Below are 23,698 nucleotides of genomic sequence, written 5' to 3'. Positions count from 1 at the left end.
GATGATAAGAGGCAGTACACTTAACACAAACCACAGCTGGTTACTTGGAGAAATAAACTGCTAGTTTGCCTGGCTTTTATCCAGGCCTAGATATTCTTATATCAGCTTCCAATTGGCTACAGAAACTTTCAAACTCTTACTAAACCAATAAACTTCATACACATTTTGGGGGTTCAGCAATAAGATTTTAACATGCCACAGAAATAGCATAGTTTTAATGGCTATTTGAGGGATCATGACCTTGTTAACTTTAAAATGAGATTAGTGATTACAAACATTTTGCTTTGAAGTTATAATTAAGATTAAAACGGCCCATAAAATCAAATATTCTGGCCTTTCACAGAAGCCTATGAATTCTTTCTTTCTCTCCTGGGTATCCCATCCCCTGCCACAGATCTCAAATGGGAATTTGAAGCCTACCAGACAGTAGCCTGGCAGAGCGGTCAGCCACTGTTGACCACCTCCAGTGCTACACAGCCACATTGTCTACTCCAGGATCCTCCTCCATTGTGGCCTCTCTGTGTCCTCCAAGGCTAGAACCTGAGATATTGTGTTTCTCAAAGAGCCCAGAACACTAGAAACTGGAGCTGAAAGGCCTTTTCCTGTGGGAAAAGGGAGTGTTCCCATCCAATTCCAAGTTAGAAGTCAGTAACAGAGCCAAGAGATTTGACCCTGGGGGATGCAATAAGAATCTAAAAACACATCTAGAACAAGCCTGAAGGGGTTTGTCACCTGCTGCCAGGTGTAACTGCACATACCTGTGCCACAGCTGCACAGCTTGGTATATGGACAGGTCCAGCAGGGGAAGTCTACAAAAAAAGTATGTTAGTTCACTTTACAAAAAATAAAATTATTCAATTGTGTTGTCTATTCTGAAATCTTATTAAAATGGGGTAGAAAAGAGGAGAAAATCATCAATGAAAGTACCCAATGTCATCTACATAGGTCTCATTTACTACACACTTTCCATTTCTTCTACTGCATCTTCTTGTGACTCTTTCAGTGATAGGCAAAGTTATATATTGTGTACACTTTCTTATTTCTCTCTTTTCTATTTAAATAAATTAATATTCAATGTAAATCAGTATAGATGAGTTTAATGTCTCATTTGCTTTCAAAACAGTTCTTGTAATTTAATGTATACATATGTCAGTGCCTGATTTATTTGGCACAATGTGAAATATTATTTCACCTTATATCCTGATATAAGGGGTTGGATGCAGTGTCCCACAATCATAATCCCACCACTTTGGGAGGCCCAGATGGGCAGGATCACTTGAAGTCAGGAGTTTGAGCCAGCCTGGCCAACATGGTGAAACCCTAATCTCTACTGAAAACAAAAAACAAAAATAAGCTAGCATAAGAAATTTTAACTTTTAATTTCCATAGGGCTTAATTTTGGGGGCTAATTTTTCATACTTCCCTGTTTTCTTATAGAAAAATATTTCTCACGCTTGTTCAAGTATCAAAGCATAAGGAAGTCATATTCTCACTAAAGAACATCATGGAATATTAATATAATTCTATCCTGTGAACTAGGAGCAACTTTCCTAGCCAAAAACAAAAAAATAAAAAATGAAAAAAATTCTGCTAATAAACGCAATATAAAACCACAGTCACATTTATATTTGTAACCTAGCTGACAATTGGCTGTTTCTGAGTTTTCACAATTCTCGTACATTTTTATTTAATGCATATTAAGTAGGACAAATATTTGGGGCACTGTGTGTAGTAATTTGCAGTGAAGCTTAGCATTTGTATTATAGTTGTGTCTGTGTTTATTTGGGGGAGGGATCAGCTAAGTCCACAGTCTATTGAAACTAAGAAGATTTTTAAAAAAAAATAAATAAATGAGCCTAGTCATACATAGCAAGCCCACAAATATGATCAGAATCAAAGAGAGAGAAGAGAGAAAAAGATTCTCTAGAATCCTGTGATTGCCTTTAGTAATAAAACTGTTTTGAGAAAGAATGAAAAAGAAAAATAATATGCAGACACTGTCATGGGAGGTTTAGACTGTTCAAAGGGAACCTTGGTCACTGGACTAAGGACTCTTACCCCATGCCTAAGATTAGATTTTTTTGAGTGAATACATTTACATGTGAATCATAAAGATAAGGCAATAAATATATGATATAATTAAATTTTAAAATGATTTTAGAGATTTTAAACTAAACATTAAGAACCATTTTAAAATTGAGGCGAAAGCTTTGTTAAAAATTGGTATCATTTTGAAACTTGAAAACAAAGACTAACTAGATAGTCTTGAAAATGAACCTATCTATCATAAAAACTATTCTTCTTTATTCAAATTCAGTTTTAGAACTGTCAGATAATACCAATTCCAGAATTAAACAGCACTTGAAATATTGCCTTAGTCGTCTTCTACCCCTTGAGTAAAAATTTTAAGGTGTTTGGTGCATGCAGTATAGTGAAATGATAAAAAATTCTGGAGAGGACAACTTCCAAAGAGGCCAGACTAGAAAAATCATTATCAAAATAATGAAGAAAGGAAGGAATAATGGGGGTGGGGGGAAGCAGAGGGGAGAATCCATAACAACAATGAGTAATTCTTTCCAAGCCATTGAGATTACTGGTAGGATACAGATATTATCCATATCTCAGGTAACATCTGAATGAAAACTTGAAAGTTAAGTTTTTAAATAATAAAAGTAAATATTTCATACAGTGAAGAGTAAAGCTGTCAAACTCTGCTCAAAATATACCAACTGAAAATACAGATGTTTGAAAGCTAGAGGCAGACTACTGGATGACAAAGGTAAAAATGGACTGTTAAGGAAGTTAGGTGTGTTGAGGAATATGCCTAACATCTGAGGTTGGCATCGAGCAGGACAACCATGTTTTTCCATCATAGACACAATTTTAGGGTGACTGCACTATAAATCTGTACTAGTATAAGAGAATTTCACATCCTATCTTTAATTGCAAAGACAAGGGACTATATGGTCCAGCCTATGAGGCCCTTTGTAGTTTTGCATTTGTTCTCTTAACCACATTAATTGCTTAAAATGAGCCACAGAAGTCCTTGAACTGAATTTAAAATACAAACATGCCCAGTGTGGCATTAAAAAGTAACAATTTCCTATAAAAGGTAAAAGTCTACAGAGGATCAATTCTATCATCCTGTGTGGAAGTGTCTTTAGCAGTAGTTTTAAAATTGCACTCTTGTGGCCGGGCACGGTGGCTCATGCCTATATAATCCCAGCACTTTGTGAGGCCGAGGCGGGCAGATCACAAGGTCAGGAGATCGAGACCATCCTGGCCAACATGGTGAAACCCCATCTCTACTAAAAATACAAAAATTAGCTGGGTGTAGTGACACACGCTGTAATCCCAGCTACTTGGGAGGCTGAGGCAGGAGAATGGCTTGAACCCAGGAGGCAGAGATTGCAGTGAGCCAAGATGGCGCCATTGCACTCCAGCCTGGTGACAGAGCGAGACTCCATCTCAAAAAAAAAAAAAAAAGAAAGAAAAAAAAATTGTACTCCTGCAACTGAAACAATATGATGTGTTAGATAGACTATGTAGACTATGACAGTCAGACTTGATATATCTGAATCAATAGAACTTCATTAAGAGTGTGGGCTACTCCCCTTTAGAATAACACATTCATAAGACTAATCATCTGTGATTAAAAAGCAGTGTATCAACAGATGGTTGAGTACCTGAAAACAGTTGGCTCTTCAGTTATAGTGTAGGACAGTTCAAATATGATTACAGGATGCACAAAAGCCTTACTCTGTTTCCAATTCCATTCCATAGAGCACCTTTCTTTTTTTTTTTTTTTTAAGCAACAAGGTCACCCTCTGTTGCATAGGCTGGAGGGCATTGGTGTGAACATAGCTCACTGCAGCCTTGAACTGATGAGCTAAAGCAATCCTCCCACTTCAGCCTCCTGAGCAGCTGGGACTGCAGGCACATGCCATCATGCCCCCTGGCTAATTTATATATATTGATATATATAGATAGATATATAAAAATGAGGTCTCGCTATATTGACCAAGCTGGTCTCAAACTCCTGGCTTCAAGTGATCCTTCTGCCACAGCCTCCCCAAATGCTGAGATTACTGGCATGAACCACCATACCCAGCTAAACGTCTTTCTTAATGTAAATTAGAACCACATAGAAAGATTAGTTGTTTAGGTTTTCCTATTAACTCTATTCCAGGGCCCTAAAACTTTTCAGTTAGTTACCAGGAGGAATTCCTCAAATGCCTCATGAATGACTGTAATGTTCCTGTTTAGTTCTTCATTATAGCAATTATTTTTTTGAGATAATCAGTTGGTCCTTTTATATCACTTAATAGCTGTTTAATTATTCTAGGCTTGTGAGGGCACTTACTTCATAAGAACCGAGTATAATGGGAAAAAGTCATCCTGCCAGATCTCGACAATTTTATAAATGTATGGGAAGGTTACCACTACAGCATTTTTTCTGGATGTGAGAAAGAGGCTGTGTGGTACAGTGGCAAAGAATCCAGACTCTGGAGAATTCCTGTTTGGAATCCTGGATCTGCCATTTGCTTTCATATGACCTTAGACAAATTATCTAACATCTCTGACCTCAGCTTTCTCATCTTTGAACCTCATGGGGTTGTTATAAGGATTAGATAAGCTAATGTGTGTTTTAGATTGAACCATTTAAAACTGCTGATTTTCTAGGATCAAAACAGTCAAATATCAGCCATTCGTGTCGTTCATAGGGTTCACCCTAAAAAAGGAAACCTAGAACAGTGCCTGGCACTTGGTGAGCCCTGGGCCAATGTTGGCTTACCTTTAATTTTCTTAGAGAAGGCACTATTTTTTTTTTTCAGTGAACAGCTTTATTTATTCACCTATAGATGTGATCTTAGCATAAAGTAGAAATAGCACTAAGCAGAGTGTCCTAGGTAAATGCACTCTTTTTCCTCTTTTTACTGAATCTTACCAGTGTGTTAACTTCTCTTTGAGTCATTTCTTCTAGCCATGAGATGACAGGAAGGAATCAGATGATCCTGAGGCCCTTTCCATCACTAATATGCTGTGATTCTAAAATAAATTGTCCTTTCCATGGCCAAGTTTTAAGAAGTCAAGAGTCAAGTTTTCTCCACATTCACCTATAGAAAGAGAATCACAACATAGAACAGTTGCCTAAATTTACCAGACAAATTCCAACTTGAGGTACGGGGTAATGTTTTTTAAAAATCAACATTAATACAGCCACCAATCTTCCTAAAATCAAAATGGTCACATTCACAAAAATAATTACTTTTAACCTACCTTGGCTGGGATAAGCTCTTACTGATTTAGAGAACGTCTTCTTCAGTAAAGAAAGTTATATGATACTTATGCCATTCAAATACTAAAATCACTTAAAGTAGCCATCATGAACTGTAAAGATCATCTAATAAAAAACTTTTTTCCAAATTAAAATTTTTTCATACACATATGAGGAAAGCCTAAACCCACATCACTGTCAATTTCTAGGAATAACATAACTCAAACAGCATTGCCACCTGCTTTAGAAAATAGTAGATAATTTTAGTGGAAATCACTTTCAAAATTATAAATCGATTCTATGGAACGTAAACTTAAGGATGTTTTTTGAAACATTGTTTTTGCAAGCAGTTTGTGAAGAAGAGACAATGTGGCTGGATTTGAAAGGAATATATACTTAAACTTTATGTAGGAATGACTTCTGGTAGTAATAAATTCTTTTATAATAGAATATCATCCAGTGTCTTGTTAAGAAATCACTTCCTTCAGAGGCTGTATATTTTTGTTCAGTAGCAATGCAGAGTGATCTCTGCTTCTGTTTCTGTCTGTTGATTGAGAGAAATGTTTTGCTTCCAGCCGTCAAAGGATAAATACTTAATCTGAGGTTGGATTACTTTACAGTAGTCTTTGATTTGTCCTCACCTTTTATATTCAAAAGTGTCCTTCATTTAATAAACATTAATTCAGTGTTTTAGGCACTGTGCAGGATATTAGTGGAAAAAACATGAAAAGAAGACACAGTTCCTGGCCTCAAAAAGCCATCTGGGGTTGGAGTCGGGGCAGTGGGGATAGATACATGTAATGAGAGTAGCAGGGGGCCATGTACCAGGTGCTGAGGATACTCGGCATGTATATGGGGATGTGGGTGGGGTGCAGCTGGTAGTGGGTAGCAGTGTGAGGGCAAGGAAGTCCTCCCAGAGCAGGCATCTGACACTGCGAGTGGCGGATCACAGCTGCAGCCTGCTTTGCTGCAGGGGCCAGTGAGTAGAGACAGAAGGACCTGATCACTACACGAAGGAATTCAAATTATATGAACTGAAAAATGATGGGAAGCTGATAGAAGATTTTGGAGAAGTAACTTTGTCAACATTTTCCACTTGGAAAGATCATTCTGGCTGCACTGTGAAGACTAGATTGGAGGAGATCTAGACTAGAGACAGGATGCCATCCCACTCCGTGACTGTTCATGAATCCAGAGAGCAGGGTTGCGGGGGCCTGCACTGGTGGTAACAGCAGTGGGGCTAGAACATGTATGATAGATGTTAAAGATTTGATATGTATTTTTATGATTTGTTTTGCATTTTATTATAATTTGCAGTAAACATTTTCTAGAAACCGGATATTATGATTTGAAGAAACATAAAATTTCAATGTAATGAGACTGTCTGAATTGTAAACCTAGTGATACCTTATTTGTTTATATACTCCATTGTAATAATAGATTTGCTTGCCATAGTTTCTCTTAATAAGGTTATACTTGTGTGTTATCTTATTTCTAATTAAATTAAATCTCTCATTAATGCATGTCAGATTTCAAAATATTATGCTTGAACAACTTTTCAGAAATGAGCTTCTCTGTTTCACTGACTGCTAATCAACATGCAATTAATTCCTTTTCAGTTTTCTATAACTTTTTAAATTCAGTTTTTATGGCCTTTACCCACCTTTATGTTATTTCTGCTTGTTTTTTTGGAACTTTTTTTCAGGATTTGGGGGTTCTTTCATGGCGCCTTCCCCATCTCCAGTGACTCCAGCTCAGAATAACCTGCTACAGCCCAATTTTGAGGCAGCTTTTGGGACAACGCCTTCAACTTCCAGCAGCAGCTCCTTTGATCCATCAGGTGAGGCAGTGACTTTCAAACATTCTTTTCATGTGTCCTGGTAATAAAAAAAAGTACTACCTAAGGTTAGTATGCTATCAGGAAATTTACAACAAGCAAATATTGAGTGATAATTTGGTTTATAAAACGTTAATAAATCTCTCATTTAGTAACTTAAATTAAAATTTATAGTACACATTGGTATCCATAAGAATAACCTGCAATCCTTTCTCTGTTTCTGTTTATTTTTAGCAGAAATCTAACTTAACCTGCACACCATCTATTTGCATGAGCTTACATGCACATGGTTTAGAGATGGTTAAAGAAAAACAGATACTTTGTACTAAATCTTTGTACAGTGTTTGAATATGTGAACACTCCCACTGCTGTTGCTTACATCCTCTGAAGCCTGCATGGCCCTCAGTTTTATGAAGTTGAGACACAAATAGTATTCTTTGCCTGCCTTTAACCTTTCATCACTGCTGTCATTTTGTTTGTATTCTCTTCCATTCTACTCTTCCCATGCTGGGTCCTTACTACAAATTTTCACTTGGTGAGTTTTTGGCAATTAAATGTGTTTCAGAAACACCCTAAATAAATCCTCTGCCTGACAATTTGGTTGCTTCTATTGCCAGTGCCTAGTTGAATGCTGTCATTTTTCACTTTAAAATTATTGTATAGTAGTTGTTATGGTAGATATGCATAGTTTTTTGATAAAATTTTACAACTACAAAGTTTTTGACATAGATAACATATTAGCAACATCTTATGCAAATGCTATGTGTCTGCATTTTGAATGGACTTTCTGTATTCTAGGAACTGAACAATTAGTAACTTATTTGGTGATCAGGAGCCATCAATGATGCATTTGATCCCTAATACTTAAAATAGTATTTAATTTACTTATGCCCTTAGAGTTACAACCAGAAATGATTGCTCTAATGAGTGAGAAAAAAATCAAAATTATTACTTTTGAAATGTGATCAACTTTTTCAGGTACCTATTACTAGATGCTGACTGTTATATCAGATGTTATTTTGTTTCCTAATTTCGTAGGAAACCAAGAGATGCATTATTTTCTCATTTAAGAATTATTTTTAAGGTAAACATTTTAGGTTTTCAGAGTAAATTATTTAGATTTCACCATAAAGCACATTAGAAGTCTTTTCACTATTTTCTTGAATAAGAGCAACAATGGCAATATTGAATGCCTGTATAAAGCAAGCATTATAATAAACCCATGACATGTATCACCTAATTTAATGTTTACAACAAAGCCATGTATTGGTCATACTCTCCCCATTTACAGATGAGAAAACTAAAAAGCTCAGAGAGTAACTTTCTTAAAGTCATGTAGCCAGTGAGTCATGCAGCTGAATTGAAGCCCAGTTCATTCCTGTACATTATACAGATTTTTTTCCATCCTTGTTCATGTTCATTAGTATTTTCATACTTTATGAGTAGACATATGTCGACATGTTCTTCTTGGTGTTACAGTCATGAAAAGTGTGAATTACTTGCCTTCTTTTATAAGATTTTATATTCACTTGTTTCCATAGTATCAAAAGAGAGTTTTACTTTAATTTCGCATATGATCTTTTTTTGTTTTCAATTATTCTGAACCTAGTCTATTTGATTTCCAGTGTTTGATGGTCTAGGTGATCTTTTGATGCCAACCATGGCACCAGCTGGGCAGCCTGCACCTGTCTCAATGGTACCACCCAGTCCTGCAATGGCAGCCAGCAAAGCCCTTGGAAGTGATCTTGATTCATCTCTTGCCAGCTTAGTAGGCAGTGAGTAATCTAGTTTTTTTTTTTTTTCTTTAACTGAAGCATATGTGAATTGTTTTTTGTTTCTCTCTCTCTCTCTCTCTCATCTCATATGTTTTGTTTCTGGACTCTCTTATGGGTGAGTATGGCAGGGAGGGAATAGAAATACTTAGTGCTTTACCCAGTGCAGGTCCTTGGAAGGCAAACAGTTCCTATGCCATTGGCTCACGAGCAATACCCATGTCATTTTAGTCTAAATTATTAAAGGTATAATCAGGGAGCATATACAAGTATGAAACCAAGTGTATTATGTGTAAAAAGCACTTAACTTTCCATTTCATTTGGAAATAAGAACATAGGGTAACTTACATGAAGTATAGTATCTTTATAAATTGAGTATCCAACTGAGTTTCAGTCATTTGTTCAACAAATATTTATTGAATACCAAGCATTCTTCCAGGCTCTAGAGATAAACCAGTGAGCAAAACAGATAAAAATGTCTGTACTTATGGCACTTAGGAAGGGCAGACACAAACTTTAAAATAAATAAATTCTATAGTGTGATAGATCATAAGTTCCATGGAGAAAAAACAGAACAGACAAAGGAGAGCTGGGAGTGCTACAGGGTAGGAGTTAGAGTAAGCCTCAACAAGAAGGTAAAATTTGAGCAAAGATTTTGAAGGGAAAGGGGTAAACTACGTGATGATCTAAAGAAGGACATCTGCAGGAAAATGAAATAGTGCAAAGGCTTTGAGGCAGAAGTTTGCCTGGCAGATTCAAGGGACATCCAGGAGATGAGTGGCTAGAGCTGAGTGGGTAAAGGAGAGAGTCCTAGGGAGGAGGGCAGCTATTACAAAGATCGACCTTTGCTCTTAATTCTGAATTTTGTATTCATGTGAATGGGTTTACCACTGTAGATACGTAATATTATTCAAGGTAGTATCAAAAGTTTAGCAAATCACGATACAGACTTCTTTACCTGTGAATTTGCCTGTGGACATACATTTTGTTTTCCATTCCTTCCCTGTGATTTGAGCAACCATGAAAATACTTTTATGACACCCGGGGAGAGGTTATTTGAATATTTCCTCCTATACTAAAATTTCATCTCACAAAGTGACTGCTTTCTCTGCATACTATAATGTATCCCCTTTCAGAAATAAAGGACTTATGCCTCCAGCTGCTGAGAGTGCCACCAACACACAGCCCTCAGCTGTCAACCACCTTTGAGAATGATCCCAGCTGAAAGAAGCTAACCCGCTAGAGCAATACCCAAACAATCTTGAAAAAGAAAAAATTTGAAGCAATCGTGTTTCCAATTTCAAAACTTCTACAAAGCTACAATAATCAGGACAAATGGTACTGGAATAAGGATAGACATAGAGACCAAAGGTATAGAATAAAGATCCCAGAAATAAACCCACGTATATAGTCAAATGATTTTTGACAAGGATACCAAGACCATTCAGTGAGGGAAAAGACATTCTTTTCAGGAGAAAAAAATTGGGGAAAGACTAAATAACTTCATGAAAAAGAATGAAATTTTACCCTTTACTTAAACAAAAAAAAATTAATTCAAAGTAAGTCGTACAACCAAATGTAAGAGCTAAATCTACGCAACTTTTAGAAGAAAACATAGGAGTAAATCTTTATGACCTGAGATTAGGTTATGTTTGGTTTCTTAGATATGACACCAGAAGTACAAGAAACAAAAGAAAAAATAGATAAATAGAAATATATCAAAATGTAATACTTTTGTGCAGTAGACAATACCATTAAGAAAGTGAAAGGACAAACCATAGAATGGGAGAAAATATTTGCAAATCATTTATCAGATAAGAGACTTGTACTCAGAATAAAGAACTCTAACAATTCAATAATGAAAACACAAATAATGCAATTTTTAAAATGGCAAATAATTTATTTGAATAGACCTTTTGACCCAAGCACCCTATATTCTCCAAAGAATATATACAGATGGCCAATATGCACATGAAAAGATGCTCACCATTATTCATCAGTGAAATGCAAATCAAAACCAAATAAGATATCACTTTATACCCAATAGGATGGAGATAACTAAAAAGACATATAACCAGTATTGATGAGGATATGGAAAACTTGAAACCCACAGACATTGCTGGTAAAAATGTAACATGGTTTAGCTGCTATAGAAAGAAGTCTGATAGTTACTCAAAATGTTAAACATAGATTATCGTATGACTCAGCATTTCCACTCCTAGGTGTATGGAGTGGAAATGAAAATGTGTATGCACACAAAAACTTGTACATGAATGTTTATAGTATTGTTATTCATAATAACCAAAAAGTAGACCACCCTAATGTTCATCACTTGATGAATGGATAAAAAAAAATGATATATCTACATAATGAAATATTCTTTGGCAATAAAAAGAAATGAAGTACTGATACATGCTACAACTGGATTTACTGTGAAAACATGCCAAGTGAAAGAAGTCGGTCGCAAAAGACTATGTGTTTTCATATATGATTCCATTTATATGAAATGTCCAGAATAGACAAATGCATACAGACAGGAAGTAGATTGGGGCTTCAAGGGGCTGAGGGAAGTGGAGAGGAAGAGGAGTGACTGCCAGTTGGTACAGGGTTTCTTTTTGTGGTGACAAAAAAGTTCTATGTTAGCACTGTGAATAAACTAAAACCATTGAATTACGTACTTTAAAAGAGTGAATTTTATGGTATGTGAATTATATCTCAAGAAAAATGTTTTTATAAAACATTTTTCAGTGTTAGCTGACGCTTCTATTGAGACTGCATTGCAGTCTTGCCCAATCACAGTTTCCTCTCTTCCCTTTCAAAATAAATCTCCTGCATGCTAATCTCCATCCCAGAGCCTTCTTCCCAGGACACCTAGCTTGCAACAGAGGCCCAGGCCCTCAGGTAACTCATTCCCGTCTGCCATGAAATTTGACAAGGGATTCATGTATACATATGTAAGGTACACTTCTGCTTTCTTTTGCTTTTTCACATGAACAGGCATAAATACTTGGTTTAGCTTTTTAATCATTTAATATACATATATTTAGTTTTATAGTCTAATTGAAAAATAAATTTTAAAATAAATTTTGTCTTTTAAAAAAACTAAAATTATGGGTAATCATTTTTATATTTGGTGTTCAGTTAATATATACCTTATTCTGTTTTGTAATGCCAAGATTTGGTAAGAAATAAATATTAACTTCATCCTCTAATACATTGATTATGCACCTGATTAGGGCTGTTGTCCTGGCTGTTCCCTCTGCCTAGAAAGCTCTCACCCAGACTCTGCTCAGCTTTGCCCAAGTCTCACTTCTATGAATCCTTCCCCAAGCACCCTGTATAATATTCTCTGGCCCCATGTTTATCCTACCCCTTCAACCCCACTTACTTTGCCCTTCCTTTTCATTTTTCCATAAGCTTTCCTTATCGCCTTCTAGCAGCCTGTATAATTTACTTTTTAATTGTTTTGTCATCTGTCTGACACCATCGGAATGCAAGTTCCTCCAGGATAGGACTCTCTGACTGTTTTCTTTACTAATATGTTCCGGGTGCCTAAAACAGTGCCTGGCATATGTAGATGCTCACAAAATATTTTCTGAAGTAATAAATGAATTGATATTAGAGCAGATTGATTAAGCCGACTATGTCAAGGGATTCACAGAGCCACTAGAAGGACACATGGGACTCAGCACATCGTTGTACTCACAGCTGAGATTTATTACGGAAGCAGAGGAAGGATATATGGCTGATGATAAGGGGAAAAGACAAGCAGAGTCTAGAAGAGTCCACATGCAGACTTCCTTAAGCTATGTCTCTCCCTTGAGGAGAAGAACACACTCTTCACCCAGCAACAAAAATGCAGCAGCATGTGTGAGGTGTTTATGCCTAAAGAAGACCTTTAGAGACTCCACACCCAGAGTATTTATTGGGCAGTGATCATGTAGGCATTTCTGCTTGGCATGTGCCAAAATTTCAGACTTGCAGAATGAAAGTGGATATTCAACATAAACCATATCATGTGTACAAATAGTAGTGTAGGCACAGTGATCCACTTTTATCATTTAGGGCAAGTTTTATCCTAGTATAGAGAACAATTTACTAACCAAGTTCCCAGATAGCAGCCTTTCTAAAATAGCAGCATCAAACCTGCTATGTTTGCTCTTTTCTGGACACCAGTTGACATTAAAATGGATCCTTAAGTCTAACATGAAGTAAAAGAAAATCTTTAATTTATGAAAATATTTCCTAATATAGTTTCTTTTCTGTATAACTGAATGCAGTCATTCCTAGGCAAAATAAGGACTTTTTTATAGACTTCTGATTATTTGATCTTTTAAATGTCATATCATATAAACTGAGTGTAGAGATTTACATTCTTTTTTCTTTTATCCATTTATAGATCTTGGAATTTCTGGTACCACAACAAAAAAGTAAGTGTTTGGAAATTATGTGATTTCCTTTTGATGGTATATTTGTATTCATTTGAGACTATCAACCATTTTACTCATTGGAGTAATTATTCATTCTCATGCTAGATAATTTCAGATAATTTCACAATTGGTGTTTATTTCATCCCAGATTTTTGTTGTTATTCTACTGGAAGCTCCAAACTGTTGCTTTGCAATGAAAAGGAATAATCTATTTCAATCTCCGAGATTGTCACTAAGTTATATCTAGAAATATTTGGGAATTGTGGCTTGAATATTTTAATAGCATTACATTCTAGATTCATTACCATAGTTCTAGCTAACATGAATTTTAAAAAGTCTTTCATGGAGTATTAATTGTAAGGAAAGATAGTAAAAATGGTAAACAATATATTCTTTTTTAGATGTATATTTTGTCGTTGAAATTGAGACATATCTTTCAGTGGATGGTGTCTTACGATCACTGTAAGGCAGGTTGCAGTCATGATACAGTTGTGTGAAACATTCTGCTGAACCCTCTAAGATCCAGAAAGTGCCATCATCAGTGCATCTTAAATTCAACAAAATCGAAGTGTACAGTATATATGATATATTTATTTGCATTTTTAATAACAAATGAATCCAGTTGGATTTTTCTGACATACTTTTCTTTATAGAGGATAGGAAATTCCTATACTTATTGAGGTCCAAACTCTAAATGATTTTTTTTCAAATGCTTTTAAGCTTTCTTAGTTACAGCATGGCAAGATTCCTCTGTAAGTTTTAACTGCTGTTCTTATTACTATACCACTTGACTAAATAAACTGCTTTTAAACCCAAATAAAATAATCTAAGGAGCCACACACCATTTTTTTCTGATTTGTGATTTTTTGTTTGTTTGCTTGTTTTGCATGGTTAATTTTAGGGGAGATCTTCAGTGGAATGCTGGAGAGAAAAAGTTGACTGGTGGAGCCAACTGGCAGCCTAAAGTAGCTCCAGCAACCTGGTCAGCAGGCGTTCCACCAAGTGCACCTTTGGTATGTAGCAATCAGAGCCCAGGGCAGCGCAGGCAGTTTGCCAGTTTCCAAGTGTGTAAAGTAGCGTGCATTTTGCTAACTTTGCTGCCGACGGTGTACTTATTCCTCTGCATTGAAGAAATATAAGCAAGTAGCACTCCAGCCCAGGGGGCTGCCCTCCATTCTTAGGTATGAAAACATTTGATAGCCTCTGTTTTGCTGCGGGAAGTGGGAGAGAGAGTAAATAAGCAAGATGAAAAAACTAAGCAAGATGCAGAAGTTACCAAAATGCAGATTCCAATGACTTTATATTTAATAATGATTATGACCTTTTAAAAATTTTAAATATTTTAATTAATATTTATACTTCCATATTTGTAAAATTATGAAAATGATTTATCAAAAGCACTTAATGTCATTGATCATTTTATCTATCTTATCATATTTCTTGCCCAAATTTTCTGATTGTCTTAGTAAGTAATAACTTTTTTTCCTACCAGAAAGATTGGGCAGTTTTTTATTGTGTAAGTTCATTTTAAAATCCTATTACTTTTGCTCACCATTTTAAAAATTGAAACTACTCACACCATCTTTTCTATAAGGTTTAAATAGATTTCATGTCTGTATTTTAAATTTCTATTAATATATTAATACTGCCATTCACTCTGGGAAAGAACACATGACTGGAAATAAAGACTAACTATTGCTTTGTGAAATTTGCTGACACAAAAAGAACGTGTTTTCAGAGTAGCAAACTGTATAATTTTTCTATATGCACTCTGTGTTTAGCAAAACTAAGCTAATCACTGTTTCCCAAACTTACTGGCAGTTTTCCACCTTTGCTTACCACCTCCACCTATCTAAATCAAACCCATCTCTAAGGCTTTCTTGATGTTATCCTTTCCTTGTTACCTGAAATAATTCTTAATCATCATTCATCACCGCCAGCCAAACAAACATGCAAGAAGTAAATTAATATAAATTCTAATTAAAAATTTTCTCCCATTCTGTAGGTTGCCTGTTCACTCTGATGGTAGTTTCTTTTGCTGTGCAGAAGCTCTTTAGTTTAATTAGATCCCATTGGTCAATTTTGGCTTCTGTTGCCATTGCTTTTGGTGTTTTAGACATGAAGTCCTTGCCCATGCCTATGTCCTGAATGGTATTGCCTAGGTTTTCTTCTAGGATTTTTATGGTTTTAGGTCTAACATTTAAGTCTTTAATCCATCTTGAATTAATTTTTGTATAAGGTGTAAGGAAGGGATCCAGTTTCAGCTTTCTGCATATGGCTAGCCAGTTTTCCCAGCATCATTTATTAAATAAGGATTCCTTTCCCCATTTCTTGTTTTTGTCAGGTTTGTCAAAGATCAGATAGTTGTAGATATGTGGCATTAGTTCTGAGGGCTCTGTTCTGTTCCATTGGTCTATATCTCTGTTTTGGTACCAGTACCATGCTGTTTTGGTTACTGTAGCCTTGTAGTATAGTTTGAAGTTAGGTAGTGTGATGCCTCCAGCTTTGTTCTTTTGGCTTAGGATTGTCTTGGCAATGCAGGCTCTTTTTTGGTTCCATATGAACTTTAAAGTAGTTTTTTCCAATTCTGTGAAGAAAGTCATTGGTAGCTTGATGGGGATGGCATTGAATCTATAAATTACCTTGGGCAGTATGACCATTTTCACGATATTGATTATTCCTATCCATGAGCATGGAATGTTCTTCCATTTGTTTGTGTCCTCTTTCATTTCGTTGAGCAGTGGTTTGTAGTTCTCCTTGAAGAGGTCCTTCACATCCCTTGTAAGTTGGATTCCTAGGTATTTTATTCTCTTTGAAGCAATTGTGAATGGGAATTCACTCATGATTTGGCTCTCTGTTTGTCTGTTATTGGTGTGGCTCTCTTTACCTATCAATACAAAAATCTAAGGCCCCTCAGCCCACATTTGGAATTACCCACAACTTGTTTGCTACAAGTCTTTAGTCCCACTTTCCCACTACTTTCTTAGAAAAACTCTCTTGTGCAAGTAGCACTCCAGCCCAGGGAGCTGCCCTCCATTCTTAGGTATGAAACATTTGATAGCCTCTATTTTGCTGTGGGAAGGAGGAGAGAGAGTAAATAAATCTGAATAAAATTCCCAAAGGAAGAAAAAAGCTTTTTTAGAACTGATTTGGTGAGTCTGTTAATACTACATAATGACATTAAATCTCACAATGTAATCTATATTATCATTATCAAAGTAAAGGAATTAATTTTCCTATTCCCTTCTGTGCAGAATTAGAAAGGCCTTATTTGTTGTTCTAAGGAATTTATACTTTCGTGATGTTGCCCTTATCACCAGGATAAAACTTTTGTTTTTTAACAAGTTAGTTTCAGAACAATCACTGGTAGTAGCACAGTCTAAAGTGAGTTAGGGGTATTGGAAGGCAAGGTGGTGAGAACATTAGTATCTGGCAGACAGGCTGTAGGTTAAAAAAAGGAAAAAAAAAGTTGGCTGGGCACGGTGGCTCATGCCTGTAATCCCAGCACTTTGTGAGGCCAAGGCAGGCGGATCACTTGAGGTCAGGAGTTCAAGACCAGCCATAGCCAACATGGTGAAACCCCATCTCTACCAAAAAAAAATGCAAAACTTTGCAAGCCATGGTGGCATGTGCCTGTATTCTCAGCTACTCAGGAGGCTGAGGTGGGAGAATCACTTGAACCCAGGAGGAGGAGGTTGCAGTGAGCCGAGATTGTGCTACTACACTCCAGCCGTGGGCGACAGTGAGTCCCTGTCTCAAAAAAAACAAAAGGAAAAAACGTTTAGAGCCTGAGTTAGGGTAGAAAGGAAGAGAAGAAGACAAATTTTCAGTTAGAATCCACACAAGTGGGGATTTTTATGGATGAGGCAACTAAGACAGTGGTTGCCCAGTGTATTATTCCGTTTTCACACTGCTGATAAAGACATACCCGAGACTGGGCAATTTACAAGAAAAAGAGGTTTAATGGACTCATGGCTGGGGAGGCCTCACAATCATGGCGGAAGACAAGGAGGAGCAAGTCATATCTTACATGGATAGCAGCAGGCAAAGGAAGAGCTTGTGCAGGGAAACTCCCCCTTATTAAACCATCAGATCTCATGAGACTTACTCACTATCACCAGAACAGCACAGGAAAGACCTGCCCCTATGATTCAGTTACCTCCCATTGCATCCTTCCCACAACACATGGGAATTCAAGATAAGATTTGGGTGGTGACACAGCCAAACCATATCATTCTGCTCCCGGCCCCTCCCAAATCTCATATCTTCACATTTCAAAACCAGTCATGCCTTCCCAACAGTCCACCAAAGTCTTAACTCATTTTAACATTAACTCAAAAATCCACAGTCCAGAGTCTCATCTGAGACAAGGCAAGTCTCTTTCACCTATGAGCCTGTAAAATCAAAAGCAAGTTAGTTACTTCCTAGATACAATGGGGGTACAGGCTTTGGGTAAATACCGCCATTCCAAATGGGAGAAATTGGCCAAAACAAAGGGGCTGTAGGCCCCATGCAAGTCCAAAATCCAGTGGGAGAGTCAAATTTTAAAGCTCCAAAATGATCTCCTTTGACGCCAAGTCTTATATCCAGGTCACACATGATGCAAGAGGTGGGCTCCCGGGCCAGGCATGGTGGCTAACACCTGTAATCCCAGCATTTTGGGAGGCCGAGGCAGGCAGATCACAAGGTCAAAAGATCGAGACCATCCTGGCCAACATGGTGAAACCCCATCTCTACTAAAAATACAAAAATTAGCTGCTCATGGTGGCACATGCCTGTAGTCCCAGCTTCTTGGGAGGCTAAGGCAGGAGAATTGCTTGAACCTGGGAGGCGCAGGTTGCAGTGAGCCGAGATTGTGCCACTGCACTCCAGCCTTGTGACAGAGCGAGACTCCACCTGAAAAAAAAAAAAAGAGGTGGGCGCCCATGGTCCTCGGGCAGCTCCATCCCTGTAGCTTTGCAGGGTATAGCCCTCCTCCTGGGTGCTTTCACAGGCTGGTGTTGAGTGTCTGTGGCTTTTCCAGGACCATGGTGTAAGCTGTCAGTGGAGCTACCACTCTGGGGTCTGGAGGACAGTGGCCTTCTTCTCATAGCTCCACTTGGTGGTGCCCCAGTAGGGACTCTGTGTGGGGGCCCCCATCCCACATTTCCCTCTGCACTGCCCTAACAGAGGTTCTCCATGAGAGCCCTGCCCCTGCAGCAAACTTCTGCCTGAGCATCCAGGTGTTTCCATACATCTTCTGAAATCTATGTGGAGGTTCCCAAACCTCAATTCTTAGCTTCTGTGGCTCAACACCACATGTAAGCTGCCAAGGTTTGGGACTACCACCCTCTGAAGCAACAGCCCAAGCTGTCCCTTGGCCCCTTTGAGTCACAGCTGGAGCAGCCGGGACACTGGGCACCAGGTCCCTAGACTGCACACAGCACAGGGACCCTGGGCCCAGCCCATGAAACCACTTCCCCCCCCGCCACCCCGTAAACCTCCAGGTCTGTGATGAGAGGGGCTGCTACAAAGTTCTCTGACGTGTCCTGGAGACATTTTCCCCATTGTGTTGGTGATAAACATTCGGCTCTTTGTTACTTATGCAAATTTATGCAGCTGGCTTGAATTTCTCCTCAGAAAATGGGATTTTCTTTTCTGTCACATTGTCAGGCTGCAAATTTTCCAAACTTTTATGCTCTGTTTCTGTTTTAAAACTGATTGGCTTTAACAGCACCCATGTCACCTCTTGAATGTTTAGCAGCTTAGAAATTTATTCCACCAGATACCTTAAATCATCATTCTCAAGTTCAAAGTTCCACAAATCTCTGGGGCAGGGGCAAAATGCTACCAGTCTTTCTGCTAAAACATAACAAGAATCACCTTCACTCCAATTCCCAACAAGTTCTTCATCTCCACCTGAGACCACCGCAGCCCACATTTTCCCATCTTCTTCTGAGCCCTCCAAACTGTCCCAACCTCTGCCTGTTACCCAGTTCCAAAGTTGATGCCTCATTTTTGGGTGGCTTTTCTGCAGCGCTCCACTCTACTGATACCATTTTTACCATATTAGTTTGTTTTCACACTGCTGATCAAGACATACCCGAGACTGGGCAATTTACAAAAAAAAAGGTTTCATGAACTTACAGTTCCACATGGCTGGGGAGGCCTCACAATCATGGTGGAAGATAAGGAGGAGCAAGTCACATCTTACATGGATGACAGCAGGCAAAGAGAGCGCTTGTTTGGGGAAACTCCCCCTTATAAAACCATCAGATCTCATGAGACTTATTCACTACCACAGGAACAGCATGGGAAAGACCTGCCCCCATGATTCAATTACCTCCCACCAGGCCCTCCCACAACACATGGGAATTCAAGATGAGACTTGGGTAGGAAGACAGCCAAACCATATCATCCAGGTTTCTGTGTGAGGCAGTTTGCCAAATAATGAGGCCACTAACCCAGAAGGGAACAAGGGAAAAGCACTTTAAAAGTAATATTAAGTTGAAGAACTTCCTTGGCCATTACCCACCCTGAGATCAAGACTTAACTGTGCAAAGTTAAGAATTCATCAAGTACTTAATTAACAACTGTTTTGCATCTTTAGGATAACAAAGCTGCTGACTGATTGGTAGGCACTTTCACAGACTGAGATTGTCTCATTTTTTTAACCCCAAAACTCTTTATTTTTGTTTATGAAGCAGAAAAATTTTAATTATTGGTAATTAAACCCCAGAAAGTGAAATATGGAAAGTTTTAGCATAAAGTATCCACAGCAGCTACGGAAAGAGAAATTAGAACAATAGAAACTATTTGTTACAATAAAGAGTTACATAAAGTTTTATTTCTTTTATTTTACTTAGCATTTTACACCACAATATACAGGCTCTCTTATGCATAGTTATTTTATCTTTATTAATTCTTAGTTTTATCTATATTCTTTTATATAGATACTCCATTTTATTTTTTACAAAGCTGTTCTTTCCTAACAAAGCTGTGGCTTTGCTTTTACTTAAGAAATTATTCTGAGGGAACTATTTCAGCTTTCTCCAACATACCTTTACACCCTGCCTCCCCAGTTGATCTCTTCCAACCTTCTATTCCTTTATAGTCTCTTTCTAGGAATACTCAAGGAAAAGAAGCTAGAGACACCAGAAACAAGTGCTTCAGAAGCAGCAAAGCAGTGTTTCCAAATTTTCCTTGTAATCTACAGGTCTTTGCTATTGAGAAGGAGATGAAGGATGCAGATTTGGGAAGGGGAATCCTTTTGCTGCCTTTTTAAAGTTTTTATTGATAGATAAGCAGTAAGATTACTTTTCCCCACTTATTCCAAATTTCCCTTAATTGCTTCTTAGAGGTGTAGCTATAACACTTTTCAGATCACAGAACCCAAGTTAGATCTAAAAACCTTAGCAGGACTTGAATATTGAACTACGTCTGCTGGCAGGGCTCTGTCATCATGGCCATCAGGAGCCCTGTGCTTCCTGGGTTACTTATTCCTGTTTTACAGTGCACAGCAGACCTATTAAGTTATTATTATTATTATTATTATTATTATTATTATACTTTAATGTGCACAACGTGCAGGTTTCTTACATATGTATACATGTGCCATGTTGGTGTGCTGCACCCATTAACTCATCATTTACATTAGGTATATCTCCTAATGCTATCCCTCCCCACTCCCCCCATCCCACAACAGGCCCCAGTGTGTGATGTTCCCCTTCCTGTGTCCAAGTGTTCTCATTGTTCAATTCCCACCTATGAGTGAGAACATGCGGTGTTTGGTTTTTTGTCCTTGTGACAGTTTGCTGAGAATGATGGTTTCCAGCTTCATCCATGTCCCTACAAAAGACGTGAACTCATCCTTTTTTATGGCTGCATAGTAGTCCATGGTGTATATGTGCCACATTTTCTTAATCCAGTCTATCATTGTTGGACATTTTGGTTGGTTCCAAGTCTTTGCTATTGTGAATAGTGCCACAATAAACATACGTGTGCATGTGTCTTTATAGCAGCATGATTTATAATCCTTTGGGTATATAGCCAGTAATGGGATGGCTGGGTCAAATGGTATTTCTAGTTCTAGATCCCTGAGGAATCACAACACTGACTTCCACAATGGTTGAACTAGTTTACAGTCCCACCAACAGTGTAAAAGTGTTCCTATTTCTTCACATCCTCTAGCACCTGTTGTTTCCTGACTTTTTAATGATCGCCATCCTAATTGGTGTGAGATGGTATCTCATTGTGGTTTTGATTTGCATTTCTCTGATGGCCAGTGATGATGAGCTTTTTTTCATGTGTCTTTTGGCTGCATGTCTTCTTTTGAGAAGTGTCTATTCATATCCTTCACCCACTTTTTGATGGGGTTGTTTGTTTTTTTCTTGTAAATTTGTTTGAGTTCTTTGAGGATTCTGGATATTAGCCCTTTGTCAGATGAGTAGATCGCAAAAATTTTCTCCCATTCTGTAGGTTGCCTGTTCACTCTCATGGTAGTTTCTTTTGCTGTGCAGAAGCTCTTTCGTTTCATTGATCCCATTTGTCAATTTTGGCTTTTGTTGCCATTGCTTTTGGTGTTTTAGACATGAAGTCCTTGCCCATGCCTATGTCCTGAATGGTATTGCCTAGGTGTTCTAGGGTTTTTATGGTTTTCGGTCTAACATTTAAGTCTTTAATCCATCTTGAATTAAGACCTGTTAAGTTTTTATCGAACAAGTGGGAAGACATTTGCAATTCAGAAATATGTGCATTTTGCAGGAAGATCACTGTTAAAAGAAAAGCTTTAGACAAAATAAATTTAACAAAGTTGAGCTGGATGCGATAACTCACCCATATACTCCCAGAAACTGAGGCGGGGGGATCACTTGAGGCCAGGAATTTGAGGCTAGCCTGGGCAGCATAGTGAGGCCCCATCTCTAGAAAAATTAAAAAGTTAGCTGGGTGTGGTGGCACATGCCTGTAGTAAGAGCTATATGAGAGGCTGAGGCAGGAGGATTGCTTGAGCCCAAGTGTTTGAGCCTACGGTGAGCTATGATTATGCAAGTTTAACAGAGTTTATTTAAGTGAAGAATGATCCATGAATCAGGTACCTCTCGGAAACAGAAGAGGTTCAGAGAGCTCCAGCACAGCAGTGTGGACCATGAACTTTTATTGGCTGATAAAGAAGTACAACAAAATATATTTTGTTGATCAGAATAGAAGGACCATAATTAGAGGTTAGTTGTTGATCTCTGCTTGATAAAGTCTCCAGTTAGAATCTGTTCGTTGGCAATTTCTGATTGGTAAAGTCTCTAGTTTCATTTTATTATTTATGTTGGGCTTCATTTTGCTTACATGAGAACTCAAGGTGCTAGAGCTGCACCAGTCAAGTGGCATCCCAATTAAAAACTTATCACCACTGAATGTAAGAGTTAATCTACCATTTCAGCAAAATGACTAACTCAGACAATTTCTTCAAACTATTTGACCATTTATTTGATCAGGAATTTCTGCAGGTTCATTTTGCTTTTAAAGCTAATAAAGCCCTTTTCTCTTTCATAGCCTGAAGTCCTAATGATGCAATTCAGGTCTGGTAAATAGCCTACCACCTACCCTGTTGAAATGATGGGTAAAGCATTAATATGAAATATAATTTTATAGGTATTTTCTTTCTTTTGAAAAAATTTTTATTGAGATAAAATTCACATAACATTTAAATTCACTATTTTAACAACTTAAAGTATACAATTCAATGATTCTTAGTATATTTACAGCATTGTGAAACCATCACCATTATCTAATTTCAGAATATTTCCATCACCCCTAAAAGAAACAGTCCCTTTCAATTTCCCCTTACCCTTAGAGCCTTTTATGCCTGGCTTCTTTTACTTAGCATAACATTTTCTAGGTTTATCCATGTCGAAGCATGTATCAGTACTCCATTTTTATGGCTGAATATATTTCATTTTATGGATATACCACATTTTGTTTATCCATTCATCAGTTGATGAACACTTATGTTGTTTCTATTACACATAATAGATTTTTATTATCATATATGAGTTTCCATATGAGCGTATATCCTCAGTTCTATTTGGAATATACCTAGGAATAGAACTCTGGGTCATGTGTAAGTCGATGTTTAACTTTTGAGGAACTGCCAAGCGTTTCCATAGCAGCTACATTATTTTACATTGCCACCAGCAATACATAGGGTTTCAAGTTCTCTATATCCTCCCAACAATTGTTATTTTTCATTTCATTATTTATTATATCATTCTAATGAGCATGAAGTGGTATTTCATTGTGGCATTGATATGCATTTCCCTAATGACTAACAGTGTTTAACATCTTTTCATGTGTGTATTGATCATTTGTATATCTTCTTTAGAGAAAGGTCTATTTATGTTGTAGGGGA

At 37.5% G+C, this 23,698-nt stretch overlaps 1 protein-coding gene across 70 annotated transcripts in view; it reads left to right on the top strand.

The window, feature by feature from the left end:
* The window catches only part of SNAP91 (synaptosome associated protein 91), a 156,509-nt gene that overhangs the window by 120,054 nt on the left and 12,757 nt on the right, over window positions 1-23,698 (top strand). For 51 of the 70 annotated variants that reach the window (NR_164843.1, NR_164844.1, NR_164846.1 and 48 more), the window contains 4 exons: window positions 6,984-7,118; window positions 8,741-8,890; window positions 13,287-13,317; window positions 14,219-14,330. Coding sequence is in view for 66 of the 70 variants with exons in the window: in NM_001242794.2 (NP_001229723.1) it covers window positions 6,984-7,118; window positions 8,741-8,890; window positions 13,287-13,317; window positions 14,219-14,330 (428 nt within the window). In the remaining 4 variants the exon portion in view is untranslated. The remainder of the gene's footprint in view (window positions 1-6,983; window positions 7,119-8,740; window positions 8,891-13,286; window positions 13,318-14,218; window positions 14,331-23,698) is intronic. The other 19 variants (NR_164845.1, NM_001376685.1, NM_001376686.1 and 16 more) reach the window with 2 other exon arrangements.

Source organism: Homo sapiens, chromosome 6 (assembly GCF_000001405.40).
Source record: "Homo sapiens chromosome 6, GRCh38.p14 Primary Assembly".
NCBI lineage: Eukaryota > Metazoa > Chordata > Mammalia > Primates > Hominidae > Homo > Homo sapiens.
This window is presented reverse-complemented; position numbering and strand designations above follow the sequence as displayed.